Source organism: Homo sapiens, chromosome 16, assembly GCF_000001405.40.
Source record: "Homo sapiens chromosome 16, GRCh38.p14 Primary Assembly".
Lineage (NCBI taxonomy): Eukaryota > Metazoa > Chordata > Mammalia > Primates > Hominidae > Homo > Homo sapiens.
In genome coordinates, this window is record NC_000016.10 from 11923219 (window position 1) to 11935557 (window position 12339).

Below are 12339 nucleotides of genomic sequence, written 5' to 3' on the forward strand. Positions count from 1 at the left end.
GATGACAGAGCAAGACCCTGTCTCAGAAAAAAAAAAAAAAAAAAGATCCCATGTGAAATTATTCAGACTTTCAGACTTCAGCCTGGGTTCCCAAGTCTTTACCAAAATATTTTTTCTGTCTTCCTTGATTCAATTTGTTTGGGGCAGGAGTACAGTTGGGAAAGGGGGAATTTTTTTCAGCTTTGAGAATTTAAGGCTGGGTATGGTGGCTCATGCCTGTAATTGCAACACTCTGGGAAACTGAGGCAGGAGGAGTGCTTGAGGCCAGGAGTTCAAGACCAGCCTGGGCAATATAGCAAAACCCTGTCTCTACAAAAGATAAATTAAAAAATAAAAAATATAATTTTGTCCGGGAGCAGTGGCTCACGCCTGTAATCCCAGCACTTTGGGAGGCTGAGGCAGGCAGATCACGAGGTCAGGAGATCGAGACCATCCTGGCTAACACAGTGAAACCCCGTCTCTACCAAAAAAATACAAAAAATTAGCCGGGTGTGGTGGCACGCACCTGTAGCCCCAGCTACTAGGGAGGCTGAGGCGGGAGAATCGCTTGAACCTGGGAGGTGGAGGTTGCAGTGAGCCAAGATTGCATCACTGCACTCCAGCCTGGGCAATAGAGTGAGACTCCATCTCAAAAAAAAAATATATATATACAATTTTATAAATATACAACAGTATAAATATAGAACAGTAAAAAGAATCACCATCACTCACAAACTTACCTGGAATCTCAAGATTGCCTTTTTTTTTTCTTTTTCTGAAACAGGGTGCTGCTCTGTCATGCAGGCTGCAGTGCAGTGGCATGAACTTGACTCACTGCAACCTCCACCTCCTAAGCTCAAGCAATCCTCCCACTTCAGCCCCCCGAGTAGCTGGGATTACAGGCACGAGCTACCACACCTGGCTAGTTTTTTTGTATTTTTTGTAGAGATGGGATTTTGCCATGTTCGCTGATCTCTAACTCCTAGGTCAAGCCATCCGCCCACCCTAGCTTCCCAAAGTACTGGGATTACAGGCGTGAGCCACTGCGCCTGGCCGATTGCCAATTGCCAATGCCTCAACACCTTCTTTCATGTTTTAAATAAACAATTTTTTTATTTAAATAAATAAATGAGAAATAAAACAATCTTTTTTCTTTTGAGATGGCGTCTCACTCTGTCGCCCAGGCTGGAGTGCAGTGGCACAATCTCAGCTCACTGCAACCTCCACCTCCCGGGTTCAAGTGATTCTCCTGTCTCAGCCTCCTGAGTAGCTGGCATTACAGGTGCACGCCACCAAGCCCGGCTCATTTTTGTACTTTTAGTAGAGATGGGGTTTCACCATGTTGACCAGGCTGGTCTCGAACTCCTGACCTCAGGTGATCTGCCTGCCTCGGCCTCTCAAAGTGTTGGGATTACAGGCATGAACCACTGAGCCTGGTCTGGTGAGCCAATTTTTATATTTGTTATAGAGACAAGAGAGACAAGAGTCTCCTTATGTTGCCCAGGCTGGTCTCGACCCCCTGGCCTCAAGTGATCCTCCCACCTCAGCCTCCCAAGTAGCTAGGACTATAGGCATGTGCCATCATGGCGAGTTAATTTTTTGTGTGTTTTTATTGTCTCGAGAGAGAGTCTTGCTCTGTTGCTCAGGCTGGACTGCAATGGCGTGATCTTGGCTCACCGCAACCTCCACCTCCTGGGTTCAAGCGATTCTCCTGCCTCAGCCTCCCGAGTAGCTGGGATTAGAGGTGTGTGCCACCATGCCTGGCTAATTTTGTATTTTTAGTAGAGACAGGGTTTCGCCATGTTGGTCAGGCTGCTCTCGAACTCCTGACCTCGTGATCCACCTGCCTCGGCCTCTCAAAGTGTTGGGATTACAGGCATGAGCCACTGAGCCTGGCCTGGTGAGCTAATTTTTAAATTTGTTATAGAGACAAGAGTCTCTCTTATGTTGCCCAGGCTGGTCTCGACCCCCTGGCCTCAAGTGATCCTCCCACCTCAGCCTCCCAAAGTGCTGGGATTACAGATGGGTGTCACCGCACCTGGCCTCTGAGGAGGATTTCATTATAAACCTGCCATGAAGGGAGGGAATCCAATTTTACGAGAGGGTGTAGCCTGGTGAGGCCTGGATGACCTCCGGAGGCAGGGGCTTGTGCCTGGGCTGAGGCCTAAGGGACAATGGGCAGACATGAAGTTGCCCCAGGCAGAGGGTACAGTGTGGGCAAAGTCAGGAAGTGGCAGGGCTTGGATCACTCCAGGAAGAGAGAGGAGTCATGTGTCACAGGAGCTCGAGACCCAGAGAGGGAGGCAGGCAGGCAGGCAGGGACCAAGCTTGGGCACAGCCAGGAAGGCAGGACAGGGCATGGTGGGGCCAATGGAATCATTACCCAAGACGGGGATTTTCAGGGAAACAGCTTAGATAAGGCCAGGTGTACAGTAGCTCCCACCTGTAATCCCAGCATTTGGGGAGGCTGAGGTAGGAGGACTGCTTGAGCCTGGGAGTTCGAGACCAGCCTAGGCAACATAGTGAGACCCCATATCCACAAAAAATTTAAAAAAGGAGTTTGTGTTCCTGTAGTAGCAGACTTGGGAGGTTGAGGTGGCAGTATCACTTGAGCCCAGGAGTTCAAGGCTAAAGTGAGCTGATTGAGCCATTGCACTCCAGCCTGAGCAACAGAGAGATATGCTGTCTCAAAGGAAATACAAATTAAAAAACCAGCCGGGCATGCTGGCGTGTGCCTGTAGTCTCAGCTACTTGGGACACTGAAGTGGGAGGATCGCTTGAGCCCAGGAGTTCAAGGCTGCCGTGAGCTATGATTGTGCCTCTGCAGTACAGCCTGGGCGACAGAGAAAGACCCTGTCTCTTAAAAAAAAAAAAAAAAAAACTTAGATAAGAGGATGCTGTGCCTCCCTGGGGGTCTTCAGTCACCCATGGTCCTGGCAAGAGAGGAGGGCCAGGAGAGAGCTTCACCCACCTGCTGTCCTGCCCATGTGACATCCGCAGGTGCTGCCATGGCCACGACTGTTGTTACACTCGAGCTGAGGAGGCCGGCTGCAGCCCCAAGACAGAGCGCTACTCCTGGCAGTGCGTCAATCAGAGCGTCCTGTGCGGTGAGTCCCCAGCAGCACCATGCCACCCACCCCGAGTATCCCCTGGGCACCCTGGCATAGCCAGATGACTTCCGTGCCCCTGTTGCAATAACCACTGCCTCCAAGTCTCCATAGACCACCCCTTGGGTATATCTAATGTAAGTGATATTTATTTTATTTATTTTTTGAGTCAGTCTCGCTCTGTCACCCAGGCTAGAGTGTGCTGATGTGATCTTGGCTCACTACAACCTCTGCCTCCTGGGTTCAAGCGATTCTCATGCCTCAGCCTCCCAAGTGGCTAGGACTACAGGCATGCACCATCACGCCCAGCTAATTTTTGTATTTTTTCAGTAGAGGTGGGGTTTCACCAAGTTGGCCGGGCTGGTCTCAAACTCCCCACCTCAAGTGCTCTGCCCGCCTCGGCCTCCCAAAGTGCTGGGATTACAGGCATGAGCCGTGGTGTCTGGCCCTAATGTGAGTGATCTTTAACACTGAGCACTTGAAAAAGAAAACCCTGAAGAAACCTAATTCTTTGATGTCTGGACGACAAGGAAGAAGATAGAAATGGCATCAGATAATAAACAGTGTAAATGTTTATCAGAAAGGGGCTGGTGGTCGGGACAAGTAGGAGGATCGCTTGAGTCCAGGAGTGCATCTCTACAAAAAAGTTAAAGGATTTTTTAACATTGGCCAGGCGTGGTGGCACACATCTGTGATCCCAGCTACTTGGGAGGCTGAGGCAGGAGGATTGCTTAAAGCCCAGGAGGTTGAGGCTGCAGTGAGCTGTGATCGAGCCACTGCACTCCAGCCTGGGTGACACAGCAAAATCCAGTCTCAAAAAAAAAAAAAAAAATAATATTTTACATAACCAACCACTTCTAAAGATTAAAAAAACCCCCTATGATTAACAACCTCAGGTCCCTCAGGCAATCATACCAGATATCAAAACAAAGCAATAACATAAGGACTGCAGTATTTATTTTATTTTTATATTATTTATTTATTCTTTGTTAGTTTGTTTTTGGAGTGTGGGTTTTGTTTTGTTTTTTGATTTTTTTATTTTGTTCTACTCAGTTTTATTCTTATTGCTCAGGCTTGAGTGCAATGGCCTGTTCTCAGCTTACTCAACCTCCGCCTCTTGGGCTCGGGTGATGATGGTTCCACCTCAGCGGCCCTCCGCCTCTTGGGTTCGGGTGGTGATTCCACCTCAGCGGCCCTCCGCCTCTTGGGTTCGGGTGGTGATTCCATCTCAGCCGCTCTCCACCTCTTGGGTTTGGGTGGTTTTTCTGCCTCAGCCTCCTGAGTAGCTAAGGGAGGTGTCTTGAGATTATCATCCGCTGAGGGTGGAGCTGAGGGTGGAAGGGGAGTGAGCAGACACTCGGGAGGTGTCTTGAGATTATCATCCGCTGAGGGTGGAAGGGGAGTGAGCAGACACTCGGGAGGTGTCTTGAGGCTCAGGGAGTTATCAGTTATAGAATGTTGTTGAGTTGGAGGAGGTGGCTGGTGGCCCATCCTGTTTTTTAAAGTTTCAGCTGTGAGGTAGGGCCAGTAGGGCAATCCTGAAGAATGACGATGCTCCGCTGCCGCCATTCTGACCTGTAGGGCCAAAGGAGGGAATGTTTTCACACATATTCATTTGATGGACAAAATTACCGCCACCAACACAGTCTGCACCTTCTGTTGCTGGTGATAGATTTTTGCACCTTTCCATCCTCCAGGTTTCAAAATAGCAGTATCAGTGTCATAATATCACCCTTCCACTGAGTACTGCCAACAGCTGGAGGGTAAAGAAAAGTCACTGGGACACACTGTTGTCTCCACATGCCACTGTGTCTGTCTGCAAATGTAGGCAGGCTGGGGTCCTGCCCCAGGGAAGACAGAGTCATAACAGAGTAATAAAGAAGCATGTTTGAGACACAGGAGTGTCTATGTCTATCCTCATTCCTCCCTCACAGCCATCACCAGAGCATGTTTCTTGCACCAGGTCAACAGACAGTAAGAGACAGTAAGAGAGGCATGAAAAGCCCATTGTCCACACATGTTGCAGCTTCTTTTTGGAGAATGTTTTCCAGGCCTTTTATGTTCTGTCTCTGATTCTCAGAACTCTGCAAGGTCAGTGTGACCACCCTGCTCCAAATCTAAGAAAACAGAGGTTTCCAGAGGAAGGAGAAATTGTGCCCAGGGTCACACAGCTTGCAAGAGGCAGAGTGGAAGTTGATTCCAGCTCTGCCTGCAGGACCCTCTCATTTCCCCTCTGTTTCCCTTCTTGACAAAGGATCTTCTTCACTCTGGAGGTGCCACCCATGAGAACAAAGAGCTCTGGAGAGATGTGGATTCCTGAAGAGCTGCAGGGGAACTGGGAGAGGGTTTTCTGACAGAACAATCTCACCTCAAGAAGTCAGTTAGGCATGGCTGTAATATTTCTTTTCACTCCCAGGTAATACCAAATTGTAAGTGCACTAGGACATAAAGAATACTTTTGTCCATGGAAAAATGAGGTGGGAATTCTAAACAAAGCAAGTTTTAAAACTGTGTTTCACTTCAAGTGTACAAGTCCCATCACGTGTAATCATAGGACTCGGCAGCTTTTGAAGGTACAGAGGCCACACAAGAACCAGCTTAGCTGAGCATCATTTAAGGCCTTCATTTGGAATTGTCCCTGTGGGTAATAAGTTACATTCACTCTTCACTAGTTTACAGTCAGGGCCCATCTGCTATTACAAATACGGAACCTCTGACACTTAGAATATTAGATCAGGGGCCCCACTGGGTGGGGATGAAGGTGTTTTTGCGCAACACGGTTACCAACAGGGATGGGACTGTGATGCTTGTAGGCAGCCTTTCTCTCTGCCATCTCCCTCTGCAGGGCTTGAGCACAGAGCTGTAGGGAGAAAAATGTATCCATGTCCTGACCTGGCAGACTATGTCCAAAAGCAAGGAAAACAAGCAAACTTACCCAGTTGCAAAGAGCCTTTCTTGCAGAAGGGGGGATCTGAAAAAGCCAACACATGAGAAATTGAATGTTGAGAGAGTCTAAGGGCCGTGGCATCATCTGCATCAGCACTGAACTATCCTGCAACTGCAGGGAGGAAGCTCCTTACTTTGCATTTGTGGTAGTCCTCTGCCCGCCGCCGCAACTCTTGCGCACGTTGAAACATTTTCCTATGGATTACAATCACTTTCATCAGATAAAGCACCACTTTCAGGATGATTTTAAATAATCTGCCATGTTTCTGTTATCCTCACAACTGTACCCTTACACAATCTATCTCTACCTAGAAAACGTATTTCAGATGGCTATAAGAGTACAGTCTGAGCCGGTCACGGTGGCTGACGCCTGTAATCCCAGCACTCTGGGAGGGCGGGGCGGATGGATCACGAGGTCAGGAGATTGAGACCATCCTGGCTAATACGGTGAAACCCCGTCTCTACTAAAAATACAAAAAATTAGCCAGGCGTGGTGGCAGGCACCTGTAATCCCAGCTACTCGGGAGGCTGAGGCAGGGGAATCACTTGAACCTGGGAGGCGGAGGTTGCAGTGAGCCAAGATCACGTCATTGCACTCCAGCCTGGGTGACACAGCAAGACTCCATCTCAGAAAAACAAAAACAAAAAACTGTACAGTCTGATCCAAACTGTTGCTGTATTGATTCCTCCTCTTGCTTACTGCCTGCTGACTTCTGAGATGATAGTTTCCTTCCCCATTCTCAGTACATCCCTAATTCATCCTTCATTGAGCATCTTTTATCATAAAGCTGTATTCTCTTTGTATTAATATCTTTACCGTGTTTCACAGGGCAGAAACAGCTGGGCTTATAAACAGGCATAGTCCTTTTGAAGGATGTGGTTGATCCTACAACAACACACTTTCCTAAGGATGACAACAACTCACCCCACCCCTAGAATGGCTGGTATGAACCGAGTTTCCACACAGTCTAGCTGGCAATGGGGTCAGGAGCCGTTTTGCTACTTCACATCTTTTGGTCACTGGTAAATATTAAGGTACTTTGTTTTCTGTTTTGTGAACTCTCTCTCTCTCTCACGATATGTCTTCTGACCATTTGTTTCTATTTCTGCATTTACTGGGTCTAAACATTGTACAAAGGTTAAAAACAACACTCCAATGGGCGTTTCCCAAGAGGGTGGGGTTCAGTTTCTGAACTCACATGTAGGTGTGTATTTCTTTCATATCCAATTTCCCATTTTCCTCTGCCTCTGACACCTGCCTCTCCTTTTCTGCATGCTCACATTCTTTCACGCTTAGTTTCCTCAGATTAGAAGGGAGAGAAATGCACACACATGATCCACCAGCCCGTGTGGGATTCCCTCTGCCCTTCTGGCATCTGAAGGCTGTGATTCAAAGATCCCCCCTGCAACCTTCCCACAAATGAACCAACTGATTCTCACAACCGAAGGGAGAATTGACACCTCCCATTGAGGGACAAAAAAAAGTCACACTCTGGCCTGCTGGCAAGTCACCTGTCATTTCCAGCTCATCTTCATAGTTCCATAGTTAGTCCTATTCTTTAGTAAATATAAAGACTATTAAAAGCTTCTATGAGGTGCACTATGTGTGTCTCTGGGGTCAGTCTTGTGCTTGACACAGCGAAAGCTCATTTTAGTTCAGTGTGAAAAACCAGACCTCACCAATTCATCACAACTAACTCCATCGGAAGCAGAGGATTGCTCCTCATCTGACTCCTCCTGTGTGAGACCTGATTCTCAGTCAGAGGCTGATGCCGGAACTGAGACCATCAGCCATAGAGAGATCCTTCCAGAATAACCCCGCAGTTCACTACTGCACTTTGCCATGATTCAGGACTGGAACTTTTGTCATCGACTTTAAAGATCCTGGTTGAGAGAAAAGGCAATCTGAATGCTGGGCGCATCTATTGAATTAGAAATGATCGGAATGGCTCCTAAGTCAGGGTGTTATGTCCTGAAAATAGGTGACAACGGCAAACCATCCACCCTGGTGTTGACTGACTTTAACAAGGTTCAGTTCACAGAGATTGAGGGCAGAAAAAGGAAACGGCCTAAAAAGGGTAAGTTTGCTGTGTTGCCCTCACACCACTTGATTCATGGTCCTGATCCTAAGGATCTCACCTGATACTTGGTTTTATAGGAAGGATGTGTAAAATTCCCAGAACGCTAGGAAACAGGGGCGAAAACACTTCAAAGAGAAAGTTAATGAACTTGTTTCTGACCACAAGGCATCCTTCAGCACATGCTGTCTGGAGTGGCCTCAAACAAGGTGTGTGTGGTGAGGTGCTGAGAATGCAATGGGAGCAGGGTCCTGTCCCCACGCTAAAGAAGCTCACAGCTTAATGCAAATGAGAAGCCAGTGAGGACATCACTACTCCTGCTGTGCACTTGGGAACTAGAAACACAAAACCTGACTCTGGAGGGAAGCTAAGGAAGCATTCTACTCTTGAGTTGACATAAGTGCATCTGAAGCTTCTGATCTCCGATGAGAACAATGGGGGACACCAAACAGAATATAAAACCCATGATTGAATACATCAAATTGCTAACATGGCAGTAAACAGACAAGAGGTGAAGATGGAGAAGAAGGAAACCCAGGACGAAAGTCAGCTTCGCATTTGGAACCCATTTCCCTGAGTTTCATTGCTGAATTCCAGAAGGAACTACTGAGATGCAAAGAAGCACAGCAGCTTTTGCACACATGCGTGGGATTAGATGGAAAACAAGTGGATTGAGGGTCTGCCAATGAAAGCGACCCATACTGAAGTCCACTGGCTCTGGTTGAGACCCAGAAGAGTCATGCATCAGAATAGAGGTGGACAGGAAATACCCTGGCCTTTGTAGGGACTGAGCCTGCACCGACGACCTCAATTGCAGCCTGTATGGAGGACCCCTGACCATCCCCCAGAAGTAGACTCCCATCTCTTCTGCAGCAAGATAACATGCTACTAGGCCTCAATTCATTGCTAAATATTTTTTAACAAGTATCTCACATTTAACAAAAAAAGATCAGTCATATGGCAGCAAAATACAATGTAATATGACCAAAACATGAAAGACTGTGAAAATGAATCTGGAGGTGACCCAAGCATTGAATTCAACAATCCAGGCTGGGTGCGGTGGCTCACACTGGGAGGCTGAGGTAGGCAGATCACCTGAGGTCAGGAGTTCAAGACTAGCCTGGCCAACATGGTGAACCCCTGTCTCTACTAAAAATGCAAAAATTGGGCTGGGAACGGTGGCTCATGCCTGTAATCTCAGCACATTGGGAGGCCGAGGTGTGCGGATCATGATGTCAGGAGTTCTAGACCAGCTTGGCCAATATGGTGAAACCCCGCCTCTACTAAAAATACAAAAATTATCCGGGCATGGTGGCATATGCCTGTAGTCCCAGCTACTCAAGAGGCTGTGGGATAAGAATCGCTTGAACCTGGGAGGTGGAGGTTGCAGTGAGCCAAGATCATGCCACTGCACTCTAGCCTGGGTGACAGAGTGAGACTCTGTCTCAAAAAAAAAAAAAAAAAAAAAAAAAAAAAAAAAAAATTGGCCAAATGTGGTGGCACACACCTGTAATCCAAGCTACTCAGGAAGCTGAGGCAGAATTGCTTCAAATTGGGAGGCAGAGGTTGCAGTGAGCCAAGATTGCACCATAGCACTCCAGCCTGGGCGACAGAGCGAGACTCTATCTCAAAATTAAAAAAAAAAAAAAAGGCTGGCTGTGGTGGCTCATGCCTCTAATCCCAGCACTTTGGGAGGCTGAGGCAGGTGGATTACCTGAGGTCAGAAGTTCGAGACCAGCCTGGACAACATGGTGAAACCCCATCTCTAGTAAAAATACAAAAATTAGCTGGGCGTGGTGGTGGGCACCTGTAATCCCAGCTACGTGGGAGGCTGAGGCAGGAGAATTGCTTGAACCCAAAAGGCAGTGAGCTGACATTGTGCCATTGCACTACAGCCTGGGCAACAAGAGCAAAGCTCCATCTCAGGAAAAAAAAAAAAAGAGACAGAGAAAGGAAAACCAATGCCAGTACTAGCAACTCCTCTTCCCCTGAAAAAATGACAAACAAGAATGTAGGAAGGGAAAGGAATTATACAGCTTAAACTAATGAAGCAGAAAGGACAAACTCAATTTTGAACCCACTGAATTTGCCACAAATATTGTAGAAAATATTCTCAAGGACTTTACAGTTGTCTACTTTGATTGGCACATGGTTCATACAACAATATTTGTGTCAAGGCACATCTTACTGTTTTTTGGCGGTCTTCCTCTTTCCATTGATTTTGTCATGATGGTTGATTTTCGTTGTCACCTTCATCTTACGGATTTTAGCTCTACCTTTTGTTTCCACATGTCTCCGTAGAGTAATGACGTCTTTCAGGCCAATTTTATTTCCTGGAAAGGAAGAAACTCTTTTCTTTGTGTGCATACAAATGGACCTCAGCCCTTGGTGAGAGTGAGGAGAGGAGAAGGTGAGAAACCTGAGGGCAAGAAGCTGTTCTTTCCCTTTCCAGGGCAAACTCATTTCCACACTATGGGGACTCCAACAGAGCCATACCTTCCTGTCTACGGCGGTTGGACCTCCTGGCTCTCTGCTGTACATCTGTGGATACATCATGTCCATTTTCAGACTGGAAGATAGTCTTCAGGAAAGACAACTAGGAAATAATAATATAAGAATGACGGCTGGGCACGGTGGTTCATGCGTATAATCCCAGTACTTTGGGAGGCCGAGGCAGGTGGATCACGGGGTCAGGAGTTCAAGACCAGCCTGGCCAAGATGGTGAAACCCCGTCTCTACTAAAAATACAAAAATTAGCCGGGCATGGCAGCGGGCGCCTGTAATCCGAGCTACTCGGGAGGCTGAGGCAGAGAACCGTTTGAAGCTGGGAGGCGGAGGTTGCAGTGAGCCGAGATCACACCACTGCACTCCAGCCTGAGAGACAGAATGAGACTCTGTCACACACACACACACACACACACACACACACATAAGAATGACATGAGGCTGGCACGGTGGCTCACTCCTGTAATCCCAGCACTTTGGGAGGCCGAGGCAGGCGGATCACCTGAGGTCGGGAGTTTGAGACCAGCCTCACCAACATGGAGAAACGCTGTCTCTGCTAAAAATACAAAATTAGCCAGGCATGGTGGTGCATGCCTGTAATCCCAGCTAGTCAGGAGGCTGAGGCAGGAGAATCACTTGAACCCAGCAGGAAAAGGTTGTGGTGAGCTGAGATTGTGCCATTGCACTCCAACCTGGGCAACAAAATTGAAACTCTGTCTCAAAAAAAAAAAAAAAAAAAAAAATAGGCCAGGTGCGGTAGCTCACGCCTGTAATCCCAGCACTTTGGGAGGCTGAGGTGGGTGAATCACAAGGTCAAGAGATGGACACCATCTTGGGCAACATGGTGAAACCCCGTCTCTACTAAAAATACAAAAATTAGCTGAGCATGGTGATGCACGCCTGTAGCCCCAGCTACTTGGGAGGCTGAGGCAGGAGAACTGCTTGAACCCAGGAGGCAGAGGTTGCAGTGAGCCAAGATCCCACCACTGCACTCCAGCCTGGTGACAGAGTGAGACTCTGTCTCAAAAAAAAAAAAAAAAAATGACCTGAATATACTTCACACAACTGAACTGTACACTTCAACACGGTTAGATGGTAATTATCATCTTATAAGTATTTTACCACAGGTTAACATGTTTCACAACTTGAAAAGGAAGTAATTACCTTCAGCTCTCTGAGTTCTAGAATTTGTAACATTTCACCCCCTGCTCCTTCCTGATCTGCACTGGAGCATCTTCCTTCTGTCCCTGCTCTACTCAGAGTTCACTTTCCCTTCCCTCACATCAGCTTCATTGAGGCTGGTTTGAACTTAACGCAAAACATTCTCACTAATGACTGAATTCCCACCAAGATTTCCATATTATCACAGTATGCTTTTAATCTTCTAAGATATTAAATATTTGTTCTCATCATAGCTAAAATGCAATGCAAATCCCATCTCAGATGTGGGTCAGATACCTATGAATCTCCTGAGGTAGTCATTGAAATGACTTTTTTCTTGAGACGGAGTGTCACTCTCAACCATGCTGAAGTGCAGTGGCGCTACCTTGGCTCACGGCAACCTCCACCTCCCAGATTCAAGCGATTCTTGTGCCTCAGCCTCCCAAGTAGCTGGGATTACAGGTGTCTGCTACCATGCCTGGCTAATTTTTGTCTTTTTAGTAGAGATGGGGTTTTACCATGTTGGCCCATCTGGTCTTGAACTCCTGACCTCAGATGATCCA

At 47.3% G+C, this 12339-nt stretch overlaps 1 protein-coding gene across 11 annotated transcripts in view; it reads right to left on the reverse strand.

The window, feature by feature from the left end:
* Positions 1-4044: 4044 nt before the first annotated feature.
* NPIPB2 (nuclear pore complex interacting protein family member B2) overlaps positions 4045-12339 on the reverse strand; it is a 49381-nt gene continuing 41086 nt past the window's right edge. For 3 of the 11 annotated variants that reach the window (XM_047434579.1, NM_001355514.1, XM_024450431.1), the window contains 5 exons: positions 10607-10706; positions 10299-10443; positions 6167-6227; positions 6022-6057; positions 4045-4661 (listed from right to left, as the gene is read on the reverse strand). In XM_047434579.1, coding sequence (XP_047290535.1) covers positions 4155-4661; positions 6022-6057; positions 6167-6227; positions 10299-10443; positions 10607-10706 — 849 coding nt within the window. In that variant the 3' untranslated portion in view covers positions 4045-4154. Of the gene's footprint in view, positions 4662-6021; positions 6058-6166; positions 6228-6849; positions 8637-10298; positions 10707-12339 lie in introns of those variants that run through there. The other 8 variants (NM_001395855.1, NM_001395854.1, NM_001395853.1 and 5 more) reach the window with 6 other exon arrangements.